This window comes from Homo sapiens, chromosome 11 (genome assembly GCF_000001405.40).
Source record: "Homo sapiens chromosome 11, GRCh38.p14 Primary Assembly".
NCBI classification, from domain to species: Eukaryota; Metazoa; Chordata; class Mammalia; order Primates; family Hominidae; genus Homo; species Homo sapiens.
The window spans coordinates 76,645,939-76,672,214 of NC_000011.10; the positions used below are offsets into that span (position 1 = coordinate 76,645,939).

Genomic DNA, 26,276 nt, shown 5'->3' on the forward strand with positions numbered 1-26,276 from the left:
AATATATAAAGAGCTCTTAAAACTCAACAATAAGAAAATAATCCATTTTATAATGGGCAGAAGACTTGAACAGACACCCCACCAAAGAAGATATGCAGATGACACATAAGCATATAAAAAGTTGCTCAACGCCATACATCGTTAGAGTTGCAAATTAAAACAACAAAGAGATACCACTAAACACCTGATAGAATGGCCAAAATGCAAAACACTGACAACACCAAAGGCTGGCAAGGATGTGTGGCAACAGGAACTCTCATTCATTGCTGGTGGGAATGCAAAATGGCACAGCCACTTTAGAAGACAGTTTGGCAGGTTTGTGTGTGTGTGCAAAACTAAACATACTCTTATTCTTTGATCTGGCAGTTGCACTCCTTGGTATTTACCCAGATTAGCTGAAAACTTACATTCACACAAAATCCTGCATACAGATGTTTATAGCAGCTTTATTCACAATTGCCAAAACTTGGAAGCAATCAAGATGTCTTTCAGTAAGTGAGAGGATAAATAAATTATGGCACATCCAAACAATGAAATATTATTCAGCACTCAAAAGCAGCTATCAAGAAAAGAAAAGACATGGAGGAAACTTACACTCATGTTACTAAGTGAAAGAAGCCAGTCTGAGAATGTTACATACTGAACAATTGCAACTATATGACGTTCTGGGAAAGGCAGAACTATGGCAAAAGTAAAAAGATCAGTCATTGCCAGAGGTTAGAGGGGAGTGGAATAATTAGGCAGAGCACAAAGGATTTTTAGGTCAGTGAAACTATTCTATATGATGCTATAATGATGAGTACATGTCATTATCGATTTGTCAAAATCCATAGAATGTACAACACTAAGAGCAAACCCTAAAGTAAACTATGGATTCCAGGTGATAATGATGCATCCATGTAGGTTAATTGTTTGTAACAAATGTTCTACTCTTCTGTGGGATGTTGATGGTGGGGAGGTTGTGCTTGTGTGGAAGTGGGTGGGCATGGGAACTCTGTATGTTCTGTTCAATTTTACTGTGAACATAAACCTGCTCTAAAAATTAAAGCCTATTTTAAAAACACGAAAATTTAGCCTCTTACTACACTCCCATTAAAGGGATTAAAGAAAAAAATAACAATACTAAGTGTTGGTGAGGATGTGGAGCAACTGGAACTCTTACACATTGCTGATGAGAATTAAATATTGGACAATCACTTTGGAAAACAGTTTGTCAGTGTCTTTGAAAGTGAAACATACACCTGCCCAGTGACCTAACACTCCCACTCCTAGATATTTCCCCAAGAGAAACAAAAACTTTTGTTAACACAAAAATCTGTATATGAATGTTTATAGCGGCTTTATTTATAATTGCCAAAAACTAGAAACAACCCCAATGTTCTTTGGTAGGTGAATGGTTAGACATCCTGTGGTACATCCATTCAATGGAATACTACTCAGTGATAGGAAGGAACTTCTGGTACTTTCAAAAACGTGGATGAATCCCAAGTGCATTGTACTAAGTGAAAGAGCCCAGTCTCAAAAGGCTACATATTGTGCGATTTCATTTATATGACCTTCTGGAAAAGGCAAAACTGTATCCAAAACTAAGCCCTATCACTTTAGGGTGAGAGAAAGCATTTATATCTTGACTGTGGTGGTGGTAGTAGTTACATAACTTTATGTGTTTTTCAAAACTCATAGAAGAGAACGTTATTAAGGGTGAATTTTACCATGTGTAAATTATACCTCAACTAAGCCAACAAATCAACTTGAGTTTCTCCTAGAGTTCTGTGACCTGGCTCAGAGACCTGCAGTGAGGAATGGGAGCCTTGTTTGTCTCTCCTGTTATCTATTCTGCTTCTTTGAATTGGCTCAGGGTTGAGAGGGGTTTGGGGGAGATACAGGCAAGTGCAAGGTGTGCTCTGAATGGAGTCATTGTAACCTGGCGTTAGACTCCCCTAGGGGTCAGATACCCAAACTCTGGCCCTTGCTTTAAAGGGACAAACATTTTTTGGGTTGTGTGCAGGCTTCTTTGTTGGTCTCCTCCAGCTGGTTCCTGGGCTTGGGTGACATATTCCCCAAGACTACCTGTGCCTGTCCCCTTCACTCTGGCTGAGGGTCCTTCTGTAGGGGTCCCCTTCTCCTGGAGGGCAGACTTCTTGGGCAGGGATCTTTCATGATGACTGACTTTTGGATACCTTGCACTGTTTCTGGTTGGTAGCATAGGAAACATTTCTCTCTTTTGCACCCTGCAAGCACAAGCTGCTCCCATGGCAGCCCCCACCCCTCATGCCACCACCAGGGATAGCTCCCATCAGCTTTTTCTCTTTAGACTTTTCCAGGGGAGAGGTGGGTCAGGTTCTGTTTCCCCCAAGCTCCAGGGAAGCCCCAGTCTCTTGGCTTGAGTTATGTGGGGTGAGGCACAGCACTGAGGTGACTCTCCCCAAGGAAAACCCCTGCATCCATCCTTCTCTCCCAGGTCAGTGCCTGCTCCAAGGCTGCTCTGAGCCTGTATGAGGGCATCACAATCTGCCCAAGTCCTGCTGGATTGTGTCTGGTGCTGCTTTTGAGGCTCTAGGGTACAGCAGCAGTTCTGAGACAGGAAAGTCCCATTTCACATCTTACTACACATAAATATTATGTTATTTTAACAAAACTGGGATTTTGATACGTAATCACCATTTTATAACCTGCTTTTTCGCTTCATACTATGTTTTGAGCATCTTTCCATGTCAGTAGACTGCTACATTCATATCATTTTAAATGAGTGATTAATATCACTTATGCAAATATACTAAAACTTATATCCATCCCCAATTGTTGGTCATTTTAGGTTGTTTCTAATTTTAGATGATTATGTTTAATAATGTTATGTTTGGGGTGAATTTATGTGAAGCTGATGAAAGGACCCCATTTGCACAAGTCCCTTTCAAATGCCTGGGAGTGATCTAGCAATTCTATATTCATAATTTTGTATTCTTTGCGTTATAGGGGCCCCCTAAATTGTATAAACTTCAGGCTCCACAAAAACTGGATGTGTCCTTGGCTATGACAAACGTCTTCACGCTCAATTTTTTTTTCTATTTTTTGGCTACGTCTTTATTTCCTTAGGATAAACTCCTAGAAACAGAATTGCTAGATTAAAGCAGATGCACATTTTTAAGATTCTTGGAACGTATTGCCAAAGGGCCCTCCAGAATAGGTGATTTCATTTACACTCCCACTCTGCCTTGAATGAGAACAACCACAACTGGGGCAGTTTCTAAGGGATTGTGTTTCCTTGTTATTGTGACTTGGTTGTAGCTGACATTCCCACCTTTTCCCGAAAGTAGAGGTTTTGATCTGAGATCCACGGGATCTGTGGGTAGAATTCTTGGGGTCTGTGAACTTGGTTGAGAAAAAATTACGTCTTTATTTTCATCATTAGCTTCTCATTGAAATGTAATCATTCTTTCCATCTTGAATGTAGCCACGAATCCCCATAGTATTCAGAGTACAAATGACTTTAGCAGTCCTGTAACCAACAGAAATCACACGTTTTCCTGCCTTCTTACAGATCTCTCAGAATATCATTTATGCTCATCGGTGCTTCAAAATTACAGTAGTTATTAGACTTGCCACTAGATCTTGTTATGTAATGTGCTCATAAAGAACATGTATTACTAATTCACAATTTATTTTTTAATATTTTGATAAGCAGTCAATAGAATTGGTTTCCTTTGTAATCATGTGTATTTTTTATTTTATGAATTTGAAAACCTTATCCTGAAAAGAAGTCCTTAGGCTTCACCAGACTGCCAAGGCATAATAAAGTTCAGAACCCTTATTGTATGGGTCAACTCACATATCTTTAAAACTTACTGAAGGAAAGGAATTAAGCTTTCATGAACCCCTGCCTGGAGCCAGGCTCTAGGGGTACATGCTGGGGGTACAGAAGGGGCAGGATGACCTCCTGCTTTTGAGGAGCTCATAGTCTAGGTAGGACATGTGATTTCACAGCTCCTGCCACTCATTGTCCTGTGGGCTGAGGGCCCAGTTTCTCAGATCTTTCAGGATTTTAAGAAAAATTAGAAATCCAGATTTTTATATGTTCCCGTGTAAAACAACTCTTACAATTTTTAAATGTTGGCAACTAATCAAAATTTTTATAAACCACTGTGTGGGCCAAATAAAGCATGTCTGAAGGCTAAATCTGGCCCAAAGGCCACCAGTTTTCAACCTTTGCTCTAGGAAAGCTGAATTCCAGTGAGGGTGGGACAAATTCATTCTGTGGAACAAAGCAGCAGAGAACCTGAGCACCCCCACCCATACCCTACTCTGCTCCTGTAAACCAGGGAAACAGGGAACTGGAGTCTTAGCTTTGAGAAGAGAGGAAATGAGAGAAGAAATTCTATTGTGGGCAGTGGGATTCCCTGTAACCTGGGTGCAGGCCGGGTGAGGAAAGACATGGCTGGAGGTAGATGCTACTGTAGTGAGAGTGTCAAGGGAATTGTGGGAGCAATGAGGCAATTAAATTATTGTATATCTAGAAAACCTCAGAGCCTCTAGCAAATAAGATAAAATAACTGCAAAAGAAAAACATATTTGAATTATTAAGAAAAAATGATGTTATTAGATATAAGATAAATGTACAAAAACCAGTTGCTTTTCTTATTTTTGACAATAAATGCATAGAAACGGAAATAGAAAAAATATTCCCATTATGATATTGACAAAAACGATATTCAGAAATAAATGTAACAAGAAAGATATAGGGTCTCTATGAAGAAAGGTATACAATCTTGTAGCAACATAGAACACAAGATCTGAGGCTGGGCGTGGTGGCTCATGCCTGTAATCCCAGCACTTTGGGAGGCTGAGGTGGGTGGATCACCTGAGGTCAGGAGTTTGAGACCAGCCTGGCCAACATGGCAAAGCCCCATCTCTAATAAAAATACAAAAATTAGCCGGGTGTGGTGGCACATACCTGTAGTCCCAGCTACTCAGGAGGCTGAGGCAGAAGAATCGTTTGAACCCAGGAGGCAGAGGTTGCATTGAGCCAAGATTGCAACGCTGCACTCCAGCCTGGGTGACAGCAAGACTCCGTCTCAAAAACAACAACAACAACAACAACAACAAAAAAAGAGAACACAAGATCTGAACAAATGGAAAGATACATCATACTCTTGGATGGGAAGACTTAATATAGAAATGTCAAACCTTCCAAAATCAATTCCAAACAGAGTGCAATGATCTTGATGTTTATATGAAGCAATAAATTCCTGAGAATAGCCAAAAAGACATGAAAAATAGTAACAGTACAAGATGACTTGTCTTGCAGGTATCAGAACCAACTCTAAAACCAATCATTAGAGTAATGGTATAGAAACAGAGAAATAGATTAGTGAAAAAAAAAAGAAATCCAGAAATAGATCTCAAATATATATCAGAATTTAATATCTGACAGAGTAACCTTTTAATTACTTAATAAGCAATGCTTTCAAAATTACTATTCATTTTGAAGCAAGTAAAATTGGATGATTATTCAACTTCAAAATAAAAAACACATCTCAGGTTGGCTGGGCGTGGTGGCTAACACCTGTAATTCTAGCACTTTGGGAGGTTGAGGCAGGAGGATCTCTTGAGCCCAGGAGTTCAAGACCATCCTGGGCAACATAGGGAAACCCTCTCTCTATTTAAAAAAAAAAAAAAATCAACAACATCTCAGGTTATGTAAAGATTTAAATGTAAAATAAAAAACAAGATAACAATTTTGGTTTTTTTTTTTTTTTTTTTTTTTGAGATGGAGTTTTGCTCTTGTCACCCAGGCTGGAGTGCAGTGGCACCATCGCGGCTCACTGCAACCTCTGCCTCCTGGGTTTAAGCGATTCTCCTGCCTCAGACTCCTGAGTAGCTGGGATTACAGGCATGCACCACCAGGTTTGTCTAACTTTTTTTGTATTTTTAGTAGAGACGGAGTTTCACCATGCTGTCCAGGCTGGTCCTGAACTCCTGACCTCAGGTGATCCACCCACCTCGGCTTTCCAAAGTGCTGGGATTAGACATGTGAGCCATCGCACCTAGCCAACATAACAAATTTTACAAGAAAATTTAGGAGACTATATGAGCAACCTGAGTGAAACTTAATAAAATTGAGAAGCGATTAAGGAAAAGTGAGACCTTGGAAAACATTGTAGGCCAAAAGATACATAAGCAGGGTCAATAGACAAACGAATTATGGAAATGTGAGACAAAGTTTAAGATCTACAACATACAATAAGGATTTACAAATTAATAAGAAATAGTTAACTCAGTAGAAAAATGGGCAAAGGATAAAAATGGGTAATTCACAGAAGAGTTCATCCAAATGGCCAAAAATACAAATGAAGACGTGCTCAGCTCCAGCAGCAGGAAAATGCAATTTAAAGTAACAATGAGAGATCGTTTTATACCCACAGCTAAAACCTGCATTTCTGGTAGGGAGGCACAGGATAAGATACTTTCATACGTTGTTTGCGGAAATGTGAAACATTACTGTTTTTTTGAAATGCAAACTTTATTAAAAGTATATATAATATACATTAAAAGTGTATAAAATATATATATCTCCATTGATTTACTTCTAGGCATTCATTCCATGAGAACACAAACCCTAGAGAGTATAGGCATAGGAATAGAATTTTTTGCCTCATGTTTATAGTTAAAGAAAAGATAAAGCTATTGTTCATCAATAGGTGAATGGCTGAATAAATCGTGCAATATTCACGCTATGGAATATTATGTAATGTCAAAAATTATGTGAAACTTATATCAGTTTATTTCGGGGGATTTCCTTGAAGTACTATTGCATAAAAAAGCGAAATGCAAGAGAGTATAATAGAATATGATCCCATTTTTGTAAAATAACAATTAAAATCTCTAATACTTGCATATGTGTGTTTGCATACAATGTAAATGTGTCTGTCAGTGATTACTCAATTAAGGAGAAAACATACAGGAGGTTGGATACAGTGGGTTATCTGGGGTCAAAGGGGAGGGTAGTACAAGCTGACATGAGCAGTGTGGAAAGTGAGGAGGGAGACATTATTGGCTCATCCTCCACCAAAAAAATAAAATAAAATAAAAAAGCACGGGCCTTTGGAATTGGACTCCCTCATCCTGCAGCCTAGCTAGCCCCCTCCCCCCAAAATGCGTGACTCCCTTGGGCATCCCTCCCACCACCCTATACGTGGCCTTCCATGTGTTTTCCATGATGCTAGAATAGGGCAGTCAAGTCACCAAGTCGCAGGGAGGGGCCAGGGCTGGGGGGCTGCTTTCAGTGCATGAGAAAGGACCTCAGGGTCCAGAGTTCAGGCCCCATTCTCCCCAGGCGACTTGGCAAATTCATGAGAGTGAGTGGAAGAGGCCACGGAGTATTAATTGACTTGTTCTCTCAACTGAAGTCCTCCTTCCGTCTTAGCTGACAGGTCATGTCCTCAGAAAGGATTCTTCTGAGTCCCACCCCTCAGTGATCTTGCCCTTCACTCCCTTTCATAGCCCTCATTACAATTTGCCATCGTTTTTGTTTGTGTGTGATTAATGTCTATTTCCCAAGCGCCACAAGAGGAGGAACGCTGCCTGTGCAGCACCCAGTATGAGATGCGGCAGGGTCCCGGCAATGCTGGCTGCTTTCAGTCATTTGCTCACTCACTCTCTCCTTCATTGACTCAATCTTTTCTGCATTTCTTTATTCATTTTTTCCCTTATTCACTCCAGAAACATGCTATTGGTCCATGCCTTTTCCCGATCTGAATCTTCCGCTTTCTAGGGTGGCTTTTTCAGAGAAGGAGGGAGTGGGGACATGATGGCAGAATTCTGGGAATGCATCCACAACTTGGGAGGGCCTAGCTGGGTGAGTTGGAAGCTCTCCAGGGAAGGAGGGAAGATTTCAGAAGGCTGGAAGTCCTGAGCAGAAGGTGCTGAATGAGGAGAGAGGAGAAAGTGATGCGATGGAGGCTGGGCCAGGCAGACCCCTCTACTCCCAGACATGCCCTGGCTCTTCCTGCTGCCAGGCCTTGGGTCCTGCCATTTGTTCTGCCTGGAAAGCCTCTTCCCATCTCCACGTGTTGAAATCCTACCCTTCCTTGCAGAGCCAGCCCAGATGTCCTCGAAGTCTTGCCTCACTTCTCCAGCTGGAAGGGCTGCTCCCTGCTGCAAACAAACTTCCCGAGCACAAAATCTGGACCTCCCTCAAGGCGCTGACCACTTCCTGGCTTGGGTTGTGGTGTGGCCCCTCTCTCCACCCCATAGACAGAGGCTCTGTCCAACTGTTCCCTGTATCCCGCAGGGCCTAGGGCCCAGCACAGAGCAGATGCCCAAGCCACTCTGGCCGAACGAATGAGCAGTGCTGAGTTTGGGGGTGTGGGCGATGATTATGACCCCATTTTACAGATGCAGAAATAGAGGTGCAGCTAAGTGACGGTCTTGGCCTTGGTCCCACAGTGAGGAAGCAGCAGAACCTAGACTCAGGCCCGTGTTTCTGGTCCCAGAGGCCAGACTCTTTCCAGGGCAGCTTGGTGGGAGGTGAGGTAGGGTGGGGTGGAGTGAGACTGGATCCTGGGAACCAGGAGGCCAGGGAGAGCTGGAGTTCGGACGGCCAAGTTCACGGAAAGCGCAGCTGGGGAGGAGCCAAGGTATTTATTATGCTTGGTCTCCAGTTCCAAACAGAGCTGATGGATGGAGCTGCTCCAGTTCCTATAAACAGCTCGGGCCTCCCTCTCCCCCACCCCGCCCTCCCCATTCTCAGCCACCACAGCCCAACTGTTTCCAGTGCGATAGGGGTGGGGGTGGGGGGAGATGACCAAGAAGAGAAGAATGGGAGACGAGGGGGAGCAAAGGAGGGGGGGAGGACAAAGATAAGACGGGGTCCTAGAGGCCTGAGGAAGCTGCAGGGAATGGAGGGTGGTCAGAGAGGATTCTTTGCCTCCCCACTGGCCCCTGCTGCCGTGGGCAGCCCACAGTCTGCATTCCCCTGTCCTCTCTGTGTCCCCTAGGTCTGTTCAAAAAGCCTCCTCACCACACTCTCTGAGGGCTTGTCTCAACTCCACAAGCTTCTGAGTCCTGGAAGACAGGGGCCATTCACTCAGAAAACCTTTTCTGAGCTGGCTTTAGTCTGTGTTGGCTCACAGGCCCTGGGGACAGATAGGACTCCAGGTAGGACCTCCCCCCAGGACCTCCTGGCCTGGTGGGTGGGTCAGGCAGACACCCAATGCTGAGGGCAGCCCAGACCTGTGGGCAGCTGGAGGAGAGAAATCCAGACAGTCTCCCCAGAGAAGGTGATGGAGGTGATACAGGCGAGGGTGGTGAAGGAGATTGTGCAGGTGGGTGGGGGGGTGAGCTGGTTCCGGCAGAGGAGGCGGGAGAGGTGCAGGAGGCAGTGCTGCCTAATGGTTAAGACTGCTGGCTCCAGAGTGGGACAGCCTGGGTTCAAGTCTCATCGCTGGAGCTCAGTTCTCTAAAATGAGGATGGTAACAGTAGAAATCTCTTCAACGGCTGTCAGAATTAAACATGACAATCCACATCCAGTGCTCAGCATGGGCCCGCCCGGAAGTGCTCAACAATGGCCATCTCTGAGCATGTTGTGAGAGGTGGCGGGAGAGAGATGGGCCTCATGGGCTCAGTGAACTGCCTGAAGGACAGGGGCACAGAACACAGACGGTGGGTCCCAGATCCTGGAGGATGTGGCCAGCCTGTGGGTCTGAGAGGGTGAGTTGCTGGCGCGTCCCGGGACCCGTTCCTGGTGGAGTGCCACGCCAGCGCATGGAACCCCAGGAGTTGGGCCCTGCACCTCAGGCTGACTGTGACCTGGGAGTGGCAGGGCCTCCCCTCTCCCTGCAAGCTAAGAGCTCGGGAAGCTGGATGTTCTGATGACCTAGTTGGCTGCTGTGTCCACGTTTGGCTGAAAACAGGAATTTCTGCCTCACCGGGGGTCTTGGCCAGGTGAGCAAACTCCCTGTTTGTCAGGAAAAGGGGTCAGGGGCCTGCTGGGCTCCCTGCTGGAGCAGAGGCCCGCAGACCCTAGGCGAGCTCAGCCCAAGCTCCTGCTTTCCCCTTAGGCCTTCACGGAGCACCTATCGTGTGCCAGGGGGTGGGGCTCTCTCCTTTCTCCCCCAGCCCTACCCCATGAAATAGGTGTTTAGAATTTCCCTTTGCAGACTGGGAGCCAGGAGCAGGAATGGGGAGGTGAGAGGGCACGGACCAGAGAAACGGAAGAATCTCCAGGAGGCAGAGCTGCCAACGCTGGGCCCAGGGGCTGCAGGGCCAAGGGGAGGGGTCCAGGCTGACTCGGGGTGGGCAGGAGAAGCATCACTGAGCAGGAGCTTGGGGGAGAGGCAGTCAGGGAAGGGAAGGGCAAAGGCGCAGTGCCAGGCTGCTGACAGGGCGAAATGGAAGGTGTGAGGGCCAGAGGAATAAGCACCCCCTGCTCTGCATGCTCTGCCCTGGCCTGTCACGCCTCTCAGTGCTCCCCTACCCAGGTGAGGCTGCTTCTGTCCCACACCCGACACTCACCCTCCAACTCCAAGCCAGGAACCAGGTGTGGTTTTCTTCCAAGTTCAACCTTGATCTGCAGCCTGGCTGATCACTGAATTCTCCAGTCCCTGGGGACCTTTAGCCCTCTACCTGGGAAGGCCTCTGGGTAGCAGAATTGGACTTTCAGGAGAGGTGGGGCTGGAGACAGAGATGTGGGCCATCAGAGCAATGGGGTGTTTACAGCAATGAGGCCATAGTGTTCCCAAGGGAAAAGGGCTTAGGATGGAGCCCTGGCCATCACCACTTAAAGCTGGCTCAAGGAAGATGAGCAAAGAGTGGCCTGAAAAGGAGTGGCCTGGGAGGGAGGAGATGGCTTCCTGTGTGGGATCACAGCTGTGGGGAGAGCATGCCCAGCAGGGGTATGGGTGGGGGGCCTGCTGCACAGGGCCTAGGGAGAGGAGGTCTGAAAAGCGTGCTGAGTTTGGCAAAGGATACCCTTGACGCTGTTAGCAAGGGCAGCATGGAGCTGGGAGGGGCTGAAGGCAGCTCCAGGCGGGTTGAGAACGGGAGGGGCGGGAAGGGAAGTGACTTTACCAAGAACCTGGCCTGTGAAGAGTGGGAGGACGAAGGGGAAAGTGGCTGAGGGGCTTCTCACTATTTTTAAGACGGACAAGACTTGAGTCCAGCTGAAGTCTGAGAGGAAGACGTAAACAGGGAGAGGCTGGAGGCAGAAGAGAGCATGACGGGGTAAGGGAGAGAGGACGGGGCTGGGGACCCCAAGGAGGAGGGGCAGTGCAGCCTCTGAGATAGGGCACAGAGGGCTGAGCACAGAGAAGGGGAGGGGGCCTGTAGCTGTAGCAGGAAGGAAACAAACGGAAGCCCTCAGCCTCTCAGCCCTGGGGTGGGGAGCACAGTCGCCTGTTGAGTGTGGGGCAAGAGGTGTAGCAGGGGCCATGCTAGTGGCTGCGGCTTCAAGGTCCAGGGTGGTGCTGGCCCAGAGTCTCAGTGTCCCCAGGGATTTGCCATGATGATTGAACGACCGTAATGGGATTGAGCGGCAGGGTTCTAGTGGACGCAATGAAGCGGATTGCAAAGAGGAAGCTGGCAGCCACACTGCTTCTCCAAAATTAGTTTTTAATACATTCAGGTAGGTTATACAAAGAGTTGGTCCCGAGGCCTGGGCTGAGGCCTGGGCCCTGGGAAGTGACAGCAGCCCTGTGTAGTGTTTTCAAAGATCAGGCGTGGGGACCCACACCTTGGCCTCCAGGCCTAAGGAGGAGTGTTACGTGCAGTAGCACCCGTGGGTGTGATCCCAACCAGGACTGGGTCTGCCTGGGTGCTCCACACACCACCAGGGCCTAGCCCTGGCTCTGCCCATTGACTCTCCCTTAACTTCCTCTGGGCCTTGGTGTTCTCCTCTGTAAAATGGGGTGGAGAGAGTGGCATTTTCACTTTCTCGCACATTACTGAGCCCACATCATGAGCCAGACTGTGGGCCAAGCACAGGTAAGATGATGAAGACAGCAAAACAAGGTCTTGAGTTGGTCCCAGCACGTCCATTCTTCCCAGACAGCTCATGACTCCATGGTATGAGGGATGGGGGTCATCTGGGTGAGGCTTTTTACCTGTTTTTGTAAGAGGGAAAAAAGATCCTTGCATGATGAGGCACAGAAAGGAAGTTTGGAGCCAGCATTATCTTGTGATGTGATAGCTGAGAGAGGACATCACTCTGGTCCAACCCCCAATCTCACCCCACAAATAAGGGCTCTTTTTTCCCCCAGAGGCTCTGTATAAGCTCTCCACAAGTTTCATTCTCTTCCTAAGCCTCAGTTTCCCCATCTGTGCAATGGGGAGGTTGGATTCCATAGTCTCAAACTCCAGGCTCTGCTCAATAGAGGAAAAGGGAATGAGAGAATGCAAGAGCACAGAGAGAACAGGAGAACCCACACCAGGGTGGAAAGGAAGGGAGGAGGGAAACAGGCAGAGAAGGAGGAGAGCGCCTGCAGCTGCCTGCCTGGGAGAGAGGAGAGAGCAGGTGTGCACAGCACAGGATGCTTCCAGACCCTGCTCGGGCTATGTGGGGCCACTTCCTGTCCACTTAACGGCCTGCAGCCCCTGCAGTGGTAAAGATCAGGCCCTGGAGACAGAAGGATGAAGGTTTGAATCTCACCTATGGCATTAGTTAGCTGGGGCCCTGGAAGGAGATTTTCAGAACTTCAGTTTCCTCTTTTATAAAACGGGGATAAAATATAGAGCTGTCACATAGGGGCAGACACAAGGCTTGGATTCAAATCCACATCTGCCAAGCTGGGTGCAAAACAGAACCAGATATCTAAGGTTTTAGCTCCTGGCTCAGCAGCCAAGGTGGGGCTGCGATGGAGAAGTGGGGCTGGGCAGGGACGGTGCTTAGAGCAGCACTGGGGTCAGGGTATGCAACATGAGAGTGCCAGGAAGGGAGAGGGCAAGTCCAGAGCAGGAGACGGAATGGTCCAGTGCTGGGCTGGACCCCTTAACCAGACCCTGCTGGAGCCGCCGTGGCCCACCTAACAACACCAGATCCGAGACACACTCGTACAGCTCCAATTCTCTCTTCTGGTCCTAAGCTTTTCATTTTCAGAGAGACTGAAAGTCATTCTCAGAAGACGTGACAAACAGTCTGCTTGGAAATGTCTCAGACAAATCCTCCTGGGCTTGGCCCTCCCTCACCCTGGCACAGCCGGGGCAGGACTCACCGCACCAAACCAGCGGGGCCTGCCGAGCTCTGGAGCCCTGGGCTTTCACACCTCAGGCCCTAAGCACACTGCGTGGCGGCCACGTGGCTCTGCAGCACTCTCTCCTACCAGACTGGGAGATTCTTGAGGGCGGGAATGTATCTCATTTCCCAGCATTCCCAGTGCCCAGAGCAGGGTGTGGCACAAAATACATGCTCAGTGAAGATTTGTTGATCTGACAGGTCAACATTATTCTCGGCTGTCCCTGAAACCGCCCAACTTCTGGCTTCCACAGCTGGACCCAAAGTGCAGCCCGGGAAGGGGGTCACCCACTGATGCAGCAGGCGGCAGAGAAAGGTGTCCTGGGCTGTAATTTGGAGACCAGAGTTCTGGGATCCCGGATCACTGTGTGACCTTGAGTCAGTCCTCACTCTTCTCTGTACCTCAGGCTCCCCCACTGACCTAGAGTGTCTCCCGGCTTCTTTAGGCTTTATACTGTTGGTTAAACTTCTGCCGGCGGACGCAGCAGCAGGCGGCCAGCGTGGTGAGGAGGATGGCAGAGACCAGTATGAAGGTGAGGATGATGATGAGGTTGATGTTCTTCAGTCCCCCCTTCTCACAGTCCTCGGGACGCACGTGGCTCAGGGACACCTCCTCCTGGGAGCTGAAGCGGCAGATCAGGTCCTGGGTGGCGTCCACGTCCACACGGCCCTGGTGCAGCTGGGCTGCCAGCCAGCCATTGCCGCAGCAGCTGAGTGGATTCCCCTGCAGGTAGAGGCGCCGGAGGCTGGTCTCCAGGCCACCCATGGCACTGCCTGGCAGGAGGCTGAAGCTGTTGTTTCGCAGGTCCAGCACCTCCAGTGACACAGCCTGTGTCCAGGCGGGAAGGTGGCTCAGGCGGTTCTCGGCAAGATTGAGCCGCTTGAGGCAGATGAAGCAGGGCAGGTCCACCTGCAGGACCATCAGCCCGTTGCCCTGCAGTGCCAGGACCTCCAAGGAGGCCTCCAGGCCTCCCAAGGCCCCCGTGGCCACCTCCAGCCCAGGATTGGAAGAAAGGTCCAGCTCAGTCAGTGGGGTGTGGAGGAAGGCCCCTGCCCTGAGCAGCTCTATCTCATTATCCACCAGGCTCAGGCTGCGGAGGGAGGTGATGCCGGAGAAGGCCACACAGCCGGAGGGGCCAGGCTCATCTGGCCCCCCACAGGGGCTGACTCGGTTCCCCTGCAGGTTGAGCCGCTGCAGGCTGGCCAGATTGGCAAAGGTGTATGGGGGCAGGTCCCGCAGGGCATTGCCCTGTAGGAGCAGCGTCCGCAGAGACCCCAGGGCTCTGGCGCCCAGTTCCAGTGTCTCCAGGGCATTGTGGCTTAAGTCAAGGAGCATCAGGCAGGGCAGGGAGCCTAAGCGCCGGGCCTCAAAGGTCCGCAAGCAGTTTCTGCTGAGGTTCAGGAAGCACAGGGAGGTCAGGTGCTCAAGAAAGCTGTCGGGGATGAGCTCAATCTCATTGTAGCTCAAATCCAGATTCAAGAGCTGGGAAAGGGGGCGGCCGCTGGCATTCCCGCTGGGGGCTGAGAGGGGCAGGGCTGACCAGCCCTCGGAAGGTGCGTGGATGCCCTTGCTGTCCTGGGGTGGCCCTGTGGGGAGCCGGATGAGGTTGTTGGACAAGTTCAGGTAGATGAGTCTCGGGAGCGCGGCCAGGTCGGGGAAATGGAGCAGTTTGTTCTCCCGCAGGTCAAGCCAGGTGAGCTGGAACTCAGCCTGGGGCTGGGAGGCCGTCTGAAAGGCCTCGATGCTGTTGCAGCTCAGGTCTAGCACCCGCAGCTGCTGGAGGCTGAAGTCGGAGATGCAGGTGAGGGAATTCCTGGAGAGGTTGAGATGGGTCAGGCGGGGCAGACCCTCGAAGGCGCCATCCTCGATGTCCATCAGCACGTTGCTATGCAGGTCAAGCTGCTCCAGCGCAGGCATGTCCCGGAAGGTGTGGCGGGTGAGGCGAGTCAGACTGTTCTCCGCCAGTGAGAGGGTATGCAGGCTGGGTGCCTCCCCCAGCAGCCGCTCCAGCAGGCCGCTGTACAGGCTGTTCCCAGACAGGTCCAGGGAGGTCACGCGTGGCAGGGGGCCCAGGCCACCAGCACTCAGCGCAGTGGCCATCGCCAGCCGGTTGTGAGCCAGGCTGAGGTGCTCCAGGTGGGTCAGGGCCTGGAAGGCTCCTGGCTGGAGGAAGCTGATCTCATTGGTGCTCAGGTCCAGGTGACGAAGTGCTGTGTAGAAGCCCAGGGGTGAGGCCAGGATACTCCGCAGCTGGTTCCCAGATAGATCAAGGGTCTCAGTGTCTGGCGGGAGCACCGAGGGGACCTGGAGCAGGCCCAGAACCTGGCACGAGACCTTCTTGTCCACCTGGGGAGGGGTAGGGTGGGGAGACAGCTGGCATAAGTGGGCACGGTAGGGGATGAAACCAGACATGTTTATCCAGGAACCCTGCCTGGCTGGGGAACCCTTCTCCCATGGACTCCCAGAATGCTCAACTTTCCCCCACCGCAGCCTGATCACCCCATGCCTGGATGACCCATCCGGCTCCCTGCCCCATCTCGGGCACCCAGCGCAGTAATGGGCATTAAGGAAGGAACTCGATGAAGGTTCCATGGGTGGACAGATGGAGAGATGATAGACAGATAGAAGGACAAATAAACTAACAAAGAGAAACCCTGTACTTATTATTACCCCTCTTACAGGAAACAGCCATATATCCCACAGAGTGACCCCAAGCCAGTGAGCAGCAGGGCAGAGCTGGGACCCAGGGCTCCTGATTCTATGTCCTAGGTCCCTTCTATGGGCACAGATAGTTAAATTTCTGGTGGTAGATGGGAATTTCTCCACTTTGGGAGAAATGTTTCCAAAAGGGAAAACTGTAATTTGTGCTCTGTCATCAGTTTTTATCTTGGCCTCCCTGCCTCAGACCTCATTCAGGCTCTCGTGTCATGGGCAGAGCCTGGGTCCTGGGGCCTGCCTTCCTTGTGGATGCTTCCGAGATGTGGCTTCCTCTCTGTTGCTGTTACCTCCTAGGAGGTGGCTTTCTTCCCAGGCTGGGTCAGGGGACCGGGCCCCTGGAGGTGGGAAGGGCCAGGGAAAAGATGGCCAGAGCCAAATCCACAGTCTTTGGTGATGAGACTGTGTTTGTGCTGTGCGACCTCCAGGAAGTCACATAACCACTCTGTTTTCTTACGTTCTTCCCCAGCAGCCACTCAGCATTTGACATCTTGGTTAATACTTTCAGGCCCATGGTCCCATTGGTCTTTACCACAGCCTGCCCATCTGATACGATCACCCCTATTTACAGAAATCTAGGCTCAGGGAGGGGAAGGGAGGTGCCAGGATTGCCCAGCTGGTGAGGAGCAGAGCTGGGATTTGAACCCAGGTTTTTTAACAACAAAAGGCCGAACTCTTGTTCTTCCACAGATGTGCCTTCTGGGACCAAAATTCTTCCTGTGCAAATGCAGGTCTCCCTCTTCTCTTCCAGGCCTCCAGGAACCCCAGCCTTTCCCAGAAAAAGGTCTGACTTCCACAATCACCGGGCTCAGGCTCACCGCCCCCAGCTTCTGTCTCCGCCAACCCGTTCTGACCCACTCACTGCTAAATGCCTGACAACTGCTCAAAAGCTCTACTCTGACAATGAGGCAGCTTGGCTTAAACTTCTCCACGGTGAAGTCCAGGATCCCCAGCAGGGCCTTCGAGGCTGTTTGTAGCCCCTGCCAACCTGTCCCCCACCTCCCACCCCAGCCCACATGCAGTGACCACAGCTGACCACTGCCCATCATGCGCTCCCACACCCACTGCTGGGGCCTGCTCCCTGAGCTGGTTATGCCATCCCCAACCAGATCCACACATGAACTCTTCACACTGAGCTTCAGGGCCTCCTCCACCAGGGAGCCCTCCCTGACTGTGCTTCCTCTCAGAGCTTTGCCCCGCTGAATTGTGGCTGTGTGTGTGAGGACCTGCTAGACAGCGAGCTCAGAGCAAACAGGGACTGGTTTGGTGGATGTGCATGCCTTGGACCTGACTAGCAAGTCAATTTTTCCTAATGAATGAGTCCCAGACATCATCAGTTTAGTAAAGGTCTGAGGCACTGAATCAATCACTTCTCTAGGAGGAAAGAAAATGCATAATTGATATTTTCAAAATATAGTCAAAGACGGGTAGAGCAAGAAGAGTTCAGCTGACCCACTTCCCAGATGTGAACACTGAGGCCTGAAGATGGCAGTGACTTGCGTGAATTCACAGTGAGCCAGTGGCTGAGCTGGTAGGGAGGGAACACAAGCCGGTGTGTTCCTCCCCTGGTCCAGCTCTGCGCTTCCTCCTGAGAGCCCCAAGGTGAGTAGGGGGAGGAAGAGACCTGCCCAGCCTCAGGCCTCCGTGTGGCTCTTCTTACTCCATGCAGCACAGTGACTCCATGTAGCCTCCAAGGGAGGCAGCTTCACAGGGGCCTCAGGAGGCCCAGGGATGCCCCGTCAGTTGGGCACCTGTGTGAACCTGAAACCTGCCCAGCTGCCTTGCCCATCCTTGCCCTTCCTCCCTCACAACCTCTCTGTCTGCAGGGGCCACTAAACATAGCCTCCTCCTCACAGCCCTTACCCCCTGGGGCATTCCTTACTTAAAGCAGAAACAACAAAATGACCTGTGATGGAGCCCCAGCTGTGTCAGGCTGCGTGCTGAGTGCAGAGACCCCCTACCCCATTAAATCTTCCCAGGCATTGTTCACCCTGTTCCTATTGTACCCCTAACGAAACTGAGGCTAAGGGGAGTGGGCTGCCCAAGATCAGACAGTCAGGGGCTCAAAACTCCCATTTGCAAATTCCTTTTCCTATTGGTGCCAGCCAAGTTCTGACCACTGGGCCCTCAGCTGGTCAGCACAGCAAAGAGCATCATGGACCCACTTACTGACTGTTACAGTGTGGGGGGCACCGTGCTGTGCCCCGCGTGTTACCCCCGGGCAAGTGCAGAGGCATACTGCCTCTGGATAGGCAAAGGCTCCCTGGGGCACCAGCCCCTGAGACTTGATCCAGGACACAAAGTTTGCCAAGCCCACAGCCCAAGACTGGCTTTCCATTCAGGGGCCCAAGACCCCTGCTCTAGAAGCCTGGGGGCCTGATGGTGGGCAGGGCTGCACTGGGATGCCCAGATCTCCAGTCCAGTCCAGGAAGAAGCTTGAAGTCCAGGGCGGTGCTCAGAGCTCCACTTCCAGGGTCTTCATGCCTCCTTCAGCTCTGAGCTCCCAGCATTGCCTGACTTACCGTCGGAGGGAATTGGAGGAATTGGCCCTTGACCAGAGTTTAGAGCTCCCACCCACTGTCCTGGGCTATCAGGACACCCACTGCCCAGCTTCCTTTTCAGAAGCAAAGACTTGCCATCCAACTCCATTTCACCACCTGATCATGGGAGGAAAGCAGAGTAGGGAGAGGCACCAGGCAGTGAACAGTGGCAAAGGCAGCTGGGTTCGAATCCTGTAGGTCCCTGGTGGGTCACACATCTTCTCCTTACTTCCCGTGTGTATTATTCCCATGCTGGTTCAGAAAGTGCTTTCCTATCTCTTATCTCATTTCCCCAGACTCCAAAATTCACCCGCTTCCCCTCTGCCTGTTGGGTAGTCAAGGACTTTCCCCTCTGAGCCTCGTCTCCCTGAGGTAGAATGTGCGTTTGTATTTGGTGACATCTGAGGCCTTCTCTGCCCGCAATTCTGGGCTCCGGGAATCTTAGAAGGGCTCTGAAGAGCAAGAAAGGTGGTGGCAACAGGAGACATTGCACCCCCAGGGAAGGGCTGCGGGCAGGCAGCTGCCTGCACTTCCTGCCTCCTGAAGCAGCTGCCGGTTCTGTGTCATAAGCTTCTTCGAGTCTCAGGTCCAAGAGGGGCTTCCGGAGGCCCTGCCCTTTCCCCAGCCAGGCTCTGGCCTCAGTGACTGCCCGGCCTTACAAGTGGATCTAGGTGTTCTCTTTGCCCTGTATCTCATAGAGTCACAAGAACTTTAGGGCTAGTTTCCCTGGCTTGGGACAGGAAAAAGGAATAGAAGCAAATCAAACTTGGTCCTTGCCCTAGGGAAGTTCATGGTCTGGCAGGTGAGACAGGCTTGGACCCTTTCACCAACCACCCCACATGTTCAGTCTTCTCAGTATTGAGATAGGGGGAAGCCTGGGGACCGCAGGAACCCAGAGGAAGGTGTGATCAGACTAGGCCAGCCTGGGAGGGGCTGGGGAGGCTTCCTGGAGATGGCAGCATTTGATCTGGGCACTAAGAAGTGAGAGGCACTCCAGCGGGCAGTCCCAAGTCAAGGAGCCCAGCTTGGAAGGGGATTTGTCTCCAAGAGGGATGAGCACAGAGGAGCCCCTCCCAGCTGGCCTACCCCAAATTCCCCACACATATATATATATTCTAGATCCCCTAGCTGGGCCTACTGCTCTGTGGGGACAGCTTGGGGGAATACAGTGTAATATCAGCCTCACTGTTCCCAGCTGAATGACCTTGGACAAGGCCCAATCTCTCCAAGCCTCAGTCTCCTCCTTTGCAAAATGAGAATAATGGTGCTTACCTGGCAGGACTGTGGGTAAATAAGGTGTTTAAACATTCTAGTAGGTGCTCATTAAATGCAAGGTACATTCCCTTTCCTCTCCTGACTCTTCTAACTTCTGGCTTCTGGGGCTGGGGCACTAGCACACCCTAGGGCAGGGAGGTGGGGGTGGTCCTCACCCTGTCTGGGCAGAGCATCTTACCATCTTACAGGGCACTTTGTCTTGGTGTTGTGCAGCCAGGCCTAGGGTCAGCAGGGCCAGGAGCAGCAGGATCTGGGGTCTCATGGCTCTGTGTAAGGCGGAGAGGAAAGGGGAACACTGTAAGCCCACTGGCTCCTTCCCACTGCCAGCCCCCACTCCCACCCATTCTGTGCCTGCCCTCAGGGAACCCCAGAGCACGGCTGGAGCTGGAATAAAGATGCTTTGAGCAGGGCAGAGAGCCAGGTGGGAAATGGGCCTGCAGCCCATCATAGTAGGCCTCTCACCCAGGCCAAGGAGCCGCCCATTACCCAGGGGAAGCAAGAGTTTTAAGCGGCAGGTGACTTGGTCAGACGGGGGTTTTCAAGAGACCCCACCTGGCGGAAGACAGCCTGGAGGGGATGCACAGAAGGCTGACAGACCCTAAGGGTTACCCTAGGCCATGCTCAGGGCCAGGGACTGGGGGCATGGAGATGTAGAGGGGGTTTGGAGGGTGGGCCTCTGACTACATTTCCACCCAGGCCACACAAGTCCTCCGTACCAGCTCTTCAGTCCCCACATGCAATTCCTCGTTTTCTGCCCACTCCCCCACCTTTATTTTGCCCTTTTCCTTTTGATTCTCTGATTCTCGAGCCCTTGCCATTGTTCAAGGGCTGGGCCCGGGCCTTGGCAGGAAGTCCCACAGGAGGCCTGGCTGCCCCGGCACTGCTCTGCGGACTTCCCCAGGAGCAGCCTGGCAGGCCCTGTACTTTCACTGAAGCCACACTCCGGCCTCCTGGGCCAGCCCTTCCCTCTAAGAGCAGCCAGGGGTGGGGCTAAGGGGACCGCACAGGCCCTTAGCAGGGTTAAATCCCAGTGCTGCTGGAGGCTCACTCACTCCCTCACTAAGGACATCAGCCAAGTGCTAGGGATGTACAAATCCACCCATGAATTTCATTCATTCATTCACACCTTTACTGAATACCTCCTCATGTCTGGCTCTGTGCTGGGAACTGGGAACTCAAAAAACAAATGAACACGAAAAAGAAGTGACAGTGACGGTGATACAGACAGAGAGTCTTAAAGAGGGACACAGAAAGCCTTCCAAGAGCACCAGGCGCACAGTCACCCACATCTGACTGCTCCCTCTTGTCTCCTCTACCTTTCTGCTGTGTGATCTTACAAGTCGCTTCACCTCTCTGAGCCTCAGTCTCCTCATTTGAGGTTAATGGCAGCCATGCCAAGTTTTTGTTGAGAATCAAACGAGATGCCACCTACAGAGCCTCCATTATGCAGTAGGCCCTCTCCTCAGCACTTTCTAGGCATGAACTCATTCCATCCTCACAAAAATTCAATGACTTGGTTCCATCATCATTTTACAGAAGGGAAAAAGAAGTCTCAGAGAGCTTAGGTACTATGCCCGAGGTCACACGGTGAACAAGCCACCGGCCCAGGTGAGTCTGGCTCCTGGGTCTGTGCCCTTCAAATCCACACTCCCAGGCCTCCCACAGTGGGTGCTCCCTCAGTGAGTGCTGAACCGCGATTCTGAAGGATGCTGCAGGAGAAAAGGCATTCACAGGGCATTTGAGGGCAGTGTCTTTGACTGTTGGAACCCGCTAGTGATGAGCTATGGACGAAGATGGCTGCTCTGAATCCCATCTCTCTTGAAGGCGCACAGACCACAGCCGGACCCGGTAAACCCTATTCCCTGGCTCCCCTCAGGGCCACAGGCGCTGCCCCTGCAGCTGCTCTGCTCTCACCTGCATTACAGGTTGTGCTTTCACAGGAAACTTTGTTCTGCTGTTTAAAAAGCAGAACGCCACCGCCCGTTAGAAAGTTAGCATATTCAGAACTGAGTGAAAACCCCTCCGGCAGGGCCTTCCAGGCCACTGGGGAGCATGCCCTGCCTGGCCAGCTCTGCTCTCCAGCCTGCTTCCCCGGTGTCCCCTCTCACATTCTGGGTTCTGGACACCTCATATTTCCTTCAGTTCCCTGAGCAGATTTTCACTGCCCCAAACCTTCACTTTCTCCCCTCTCCTCTTCTGCTAAAGACCTCCTCATCCTTGGGGTCCCAGCTTAGATGGGCCAAGAGGCCTTCTTTGGTTCCCCAAGTCTGGACTATGTCCTCCAGTCCTCCCAGAGCCCCTGAGCTTCCAGTGAGCACAGCACCAAGCCCTCCGTGGCTACTGGGCCCCACCCCCTCCCATGGGAAGTGCCCCTAGAGAGGGGCTCACCATCCTTTAAGATGCATCTCACAGCACACAACAGGTCAGCAGCGGACAGAAAACCGACACTAGGAGTCTCGGTGACATGGGGTCGTTACTGAGAGCAGTTCTCCTTGGCTCTCCCTTCACCTCTCTGCAACGTTCCCTTCACCCATCCATGCCGTCAGTGGGCTCTGACTGCTCTCCCTGAAAGAGACCCCGGATCTTCCTACTTCCCTCTTATCACTGCCACAGACCGAGACGCCACCCCAATCCTGGCCTTGACCACAGCACCCTGACCTCTTATAATCTGTCCTGTACCTAGCAGCCAGAGTGATAATATAAAATCATCTGTCAGATCCTAAACCTCTTCTGTTTGAAAATCTCCAAGAAAATCCAGGCTATCCACAGTCTCCTCTCTGACTCTTGCCCATTTTCCCTTCCCTCACCACATTCCAGCTTTCCTGCTGTTCCTTCAACACAGCAAATTCATTCCTGCCACAGGGCCTTTGCTCCTGCAGTTTCCTCTCCCTGAATGCTCTTCCTCAGCTCCTCACACATGTCATTGTTTTCCCACATTTATCATTTCCTCATCATTTATTTCTTATCATGTGGGAACAGGGGCCTACTAAGTAGGTACTCACTAAAGACTAGTGAACAAGTGGCAAAATCAGGGCAGAAGCTCAGCTGCAGTGGACTGAGTGGTGAGTGCCAGGTGAGGACAAGGAAGGGTCCTAGGCCCTTATTTCCCCTTCCTCTGCCAAACCCCACTCTATCCCCAAGGTGGCCCTGTGCACATCCAGAAGGGATCGTCCCTGCAGCACATGGGCACTCTGTCCTGGCATCTGACGGGAAGGGCCCCTCAGCTGTGGGCCCTCCTCAGTGGTGCCCAAGTACAGGGTGTAGCATTTAAAGACTACTCTCTCTCAAAAAGGAGGACGGTGTCACTTAGACCCAGGCTTGCATCCAAAGCCCACCACTCACCAGCTCTGCTCCCTAAGGTAAGTCCCTTCCTTTCTTGGTGCCCCAGTGTCCTGTCTGCAGGGTAGGCAGCTGGGTTCCAGTTCTGCCACTGGCCAACCCCAACTATTGTGATGATCAGGCAAAGAATGGTGGCGAAGGTGCCCTGCATCCTCACTGTCCTTCCCAGCTGACACAGTGACCCTCGCAGGGCTGAGCATCCCAGGTGAGGTGTGCTCAGTGGGGAGGCCCCAAGCCTGCAGACAAGTGGCCTGGGCAAGAGGAGGCAGGAGAGTCGGACTCTCAGGAGTCCAACTCAGAAAAGTGCCAAAGAATGTGTGTGTGTGTGTGTGTGTGTGTGTGTGTGTGTGTGTGTGAGAGAGAGAGAGAGAGTGAGAGAGAAAGAGCAGGGGTACGGGGGGCAATGACTACTACCACAATAAGCCCACCCCTACATTTAAGGATGTTAGTCTTCTAAGCACTTGACCTATATCATCTCATTTAATTCTCACAATCACCTATTGAGGAAATTACTGTAATTCCCATTTTACGGATGAGAAAACAGTTTCCGGAAAGTGAAGTGACTTACCCCCAGAGTTACCCAGCTCATAAGGGCTTTGGAGCTGGGATTTATCCAGTTCTACATGACCTGAATACTGTGTTTTCTCCAGCACATGCTGAGCCGACTGCCCCCAATAGAACTGTCTTTTTTTTGCCCATGAAGAAAAGGAGGCTCAGAGAAGTGACTTACCCAAAGTCACACAAGGAGAAAATAGCAGGGTCACGATCAGAATCCAGTTCATCTGTCTCCAAAGCAAATGTTCCCACTATACCAAATCAAGGTCTCCTTCCCTAAGCCCTGCCAACGACCCCTCACACGCAGGAGCAGGGCAGACTAGCTCACAGTCTGGCCTCTGAGGTCCTCTCTCCCTCCTCTCGGCCTCAGCTGACTTACTGGCAGAGTGGGGTCCTGGGAGAGCTGCTGCGGACGTTCCTGTCAAGCAGTGAATCACTAAGGGCAAGCCTCGTTCTGGAGACATGTGCATCCCACGGGGGAATTAGACCTTAACCCAAAGGAATGTGGCTGTGATGGCGGAATTTCAGGCAGCTCGGCGTGGGGGTGGGGGCCCCTCACATCTTACCACCCATGAAGAAGGCTGGGTTCAGAGCCCCTTGGAGAGCGGTGGGTGCCCCCTACCCCACTACGAGAAATGGGCAGGCCATCTAGTGCTGTGGGATGGGCAGCCCCACGCCTGGCTGGGATCGGAGCGTTGCAGGAAACCTGAATTCAAATTCCGGTTTGCCCTTGCCTAGCTGTGTGTTCCTGGGCAAGTCACGGTCTTCAGGCCATTGTTTTCCCAGCTGTCAAATGGGAAGGCCGGCCTCACCCCTTTGCGGGAAAGATCCGCCAAGACAGGAGCGCTGGGGAACTCCCAGGGACCGAGGGAGGGTCAGCCCCGGCTCCACGCGCGCAGTGGGGATGGCGGGAGGGGAGTGTTTGGGGGGCGTCCCTTGGGACCAGCCCCCGCCTTGCGCTCGCTAGAGGCGCGCGACAGTGCGCCCCCCGAGGGCCGGCCAGCCTCGCCTGCCCGGCGGCTCCTACCTGGCTCAGCGCGGCCGCAGCTCCTCTCCCGGGCAGTCTCGGCACATTTTGCGCAAACCCGCCCCCGGGTCCCACCCCGCGCCAGACCCCGGGGTCACGGCCCGAGGAGGAGCAGGCCGCTCAGCTGCCCCACCGGAGCCCCCGCGCTCCGGCTGCAATTTAAATACCTCTCCCGCCGGCCCGCCCCGCCACGCCCCCCTCTGGCGAGGCCGTGGGGTCCTAGCGCCTGGCCCCGTGCCTCGGTTTATCCGGAGCCGGCGGGGGCGGAGTGGGGTGGGGCGGCGAAGCATCTTCACCACCCTGGGACCTCGGCCGGGAAGGGGCGGGGGCCCAGTGTGGGGGGATGAGAGGGCGGGAGGGAGAGGGGTTGCAGAGGAAGCGCCGTGGGAGCGAGGCCCATCCCAGCGGCCGCCGCACGTGCAGTTCGCGGCCCCGCGGGGTCCGGAGGGGGGCGCGGTGGCTCTAGGAGCCGCAGGTCCACAGAGGAAATCCGGCCTGGCCCCGATTTCCCAGCTGCTGGCGCCGCCGCACTTAACGCGGGGGCAAACAGGCGAGGTGACGGCGGGGCTGAATGCGGAAGGAAATGACCCTTCGCTGGCCCTGGGGCGGCCGCGGAGGGGGTTCCCCGCACCAAGCCGTCCACTCTGGTGGGTCCTGGCAGGTCACTTTTCCTCTCCGGATTGTGCTCTAGTGTCTGGACCCGTACTCCTCCATCATCTGCGGGACCCTTCAACAGCCTGTGAAACGGCACCATCAAAGTCCTGTTTTCGGATGGAGAAGCTGAGGCTAGGGGTGGGGGCAGTGTGTACACATGAAAACCAATTGTCTGAGACTAGTAAGGTCCCTATTTATAGCTGGGGAACCTGAGGCTCAGAAAAGGTTAAATGGCGTGTCCAAAGTCAACACAGCTAATAAGAATCAGTGATTTGAGCCCAATCTGTTCATAAAGCTAAGTCTGATTCAGTTTGGGCATTATCTTGCCCGAATTTTTAAAGTACTGTGCAAATATGGGGTGGCGGTATTGTCATTTAGATTGGAGGTTGAAGCAGATCTTTCCCAAAGCCACCTCTCTTCTAGATGCCTTGACCCTACCAAATCACAGGTACCCTGCCTTGCTGCCTGTGGACTCTAGTATGCGGGTCCCTAGAAGAGAGGGGCCCTGGCTGTCCTCCAGGTCCTGGTTCCAAGTGTAGAAGGGGCCTCTTCCACAGTGTTTCTCTTCCCTGATCGTCACCAGCCCTGAGAGTGGGGCAGGGTGCCCCATTTTACATGCATGAAAGTGACCACCCAGGGCCTTGTGGCAAATCAGGGTAAGGCTGGGCTCAGAAGCGGGATTCCCTGAAGTCTCTACAGTTACTGCCTTTTCTTACCCCTGTTCAGTCCACTGTGGAGATGGATCTGGGGAGATGGGGTCAACCCAGAGAGGACAAGCCATGATAGCAGGTGCCATAGGGGCCTGACCTAGTCTTAGAAGAGGAAATCAGGGAAGGCTTCCCTAAGGAGGAGGCCTGAGCTGCAGTGAGGGGATGGGCAGGAGGTGCAGGTAAGGAATCTCTCAGCAGGGCCTGCGAAGGGTATCCAAACCTCTTTCCCTTCCCTCC

General features: G+C 52.0%; 1 protein-coding gene and 1 long non-coding RNA gene across 11 annotated transcripts, besides 7 other annotated features; one reads left to right on the top strand and one right to left on the bottom strand.

The window, feature by feature from the left end:
* Nucleotides 7,831–8,354: an enhancer, noted in NCBI's record as "H3K4me1 hESC enhancer chr11:76364813-76365336 (GRCh37/hg19 assembly coordinates)". NCBI's record gives its function as "activates a minimal SCP1, AML or CMV promoter by ChIP-STARR-seq in naive H9 embryonic stem cells {active_cell/tissue: H9 hESC(naive)}" and the evidence as "EXISTENCE:reporter gene assay evidence [ECO:0000049][PMID:30033119]".
* On the top strand, nucleotides 11,058–17,928 carry LRRC32-AS1 (LRRC32 antisense RNA 1). The gene is made up of 3 exons (NR_199061.1): nucleotides 11,058–11,218; nucleotides 13,670–13,756; nucleotides 16,691–17,928. It is a non-coding gene; the product is annotated as an LRRC32 antisense RNA 1 (long non-coding RNA).
* On the bottom strand, nucleotides 11,586–24,809 carry LRRC32 (leucine rich repeat containing 32). 10 transcript variants are annotated; one of them, NR_163259.1, is made up of 4 exons: nucleotides 23,824–24,000; nucleotides 19,933–20,020; nucleotides 12,642–15,570; nucleotides 11,586–12,096 (listed from the first exon to the last, which is right to left on the bottom strand). NR_163259.1 is itself a non-coding variant. In NM_001370187.1 (4 exons), exons 2-3 carry the CDS (start codon nucleotides 20,014–20,016, stop codon nucleotides 13,666–13,668), a joined length of 1,989 nt encoding a protein of 662 aa, NP_001357116.1. In that variant the 5' UTR covers nucleotides 20,017–20,020; nucleotides 24,676–24,809; the 3' UTR covers nucleotides 11,586–12,096; nucleotides 13,645–13,665. The 10 variants fall into 10 exon arrangements, 9 of the variants coding, with proteins under 9 accessions (NP_001357116.1, NP_001357117.1, NP_001357120.1 ...); NM_001370187.1 differs by lacking the exon at nucleotides 23,824–24,000 and adding an exon at nucleotides 24,676–24,809 and having other exon boundaries at nucleotides 13,645–15,570; NM_001370188.1 differs by having other exon boundaries at nucleotides 13,645–15,570.
* Nucleotides 18,903–18,992: an enhancer, noted in NCBI's record as "active region_5294". NCBI's record gives its function as "activates an Ori minimal core promoter by ATAC-STARR-seq in GM12878 lymphoblastoid cells {active_cell/tissue: GM12878}" and the evidence as "EXISTENCE:reporter gene assay evidence [ECO:0000049][PMID:35858748]".
* Nucleotides 19,403–19,462: a silencer, noted in NCBI's record as "silent region_3784". NCBI's record gives its function as "represses an Ori minimal core promoter by ATAC-STARR-seq in GM12878 lymphoblastoid cells {active_cell/tissue: GM12878}" and the evidence as "EXISTENCE:reporter gene assay evidence [ECO:0000049][PMID:35858748]".
* Nucleotides 20,325–20,374: an enhancer, noted in NCBI's record as "active region_5295". NCBI's record gives its function as "activates an Ori minimal core promoter by ATAC-STARR-seq in GM12878 lymphoblastoid cells {active_cell/tissue: GM12878}" and the evidence as "EXISTENCE:reporter gene assay evidence [ECO:0000049][PMID:35858748]".
* Nucleotides 20,945–21,004: an enhancer, noted in NCBI's record as "active region_5296". NCBI's record gives its function as "activates an Ori minimal core promoter by ATAC-STARR-seq in GM12878 lymphoblastoid cells {active_cell/tissue: GM12878}" and the evidence as "EXISTENCE:reporter gene assay evidence [ECO:0000049][PMID:35858748]".
* Nucleotides 24,564–24,693: a silencer, noted in NCBI's record as "silent region_3785". NCBI's record gives its function as "represses an Ori minimal core promoter by ATAC-STARR-seq in GM12878 lymphoblastoid cells {active_cell/tissue: GM12878}" and the evidence as "EXISTENCE:reporter gene assay evidence [ECO:0000049][PMID:35858748]".
* Nucleotides 24,754–24,953: a silencer, noted in NCBI's record as "silent region_3786". NCBI's record gives its function as "represses an Ori minimal core promoter by ATAC-STARR-seq in GM12878 lymphoblastoid cells {active_cell/tissue: GM12878}" and the evidence as "EXISTENCE:reporter gene assay evidence [ECO:0000049][PMID:35858748]".

What these genes read in the sequence shown, in the direction of transcription:
- LRRC32 (NM_001370187.1), bottom strand. Translation starts at nt 20,016, where the DNA reads ATGAGACCCCAGATCCTGCTGCTCCTGGCCCTGCTGACCCTAGGCCTG. An exon ending in ACAAAGTGCCCTGTAAGATG is followed by an intron (nt 15,571 to 19,932) that starts GTAAGATGCTCT and finishes ACCCCTCCCCAG; the next exon opens with GTGGACAAGAAGGTCTCGTG.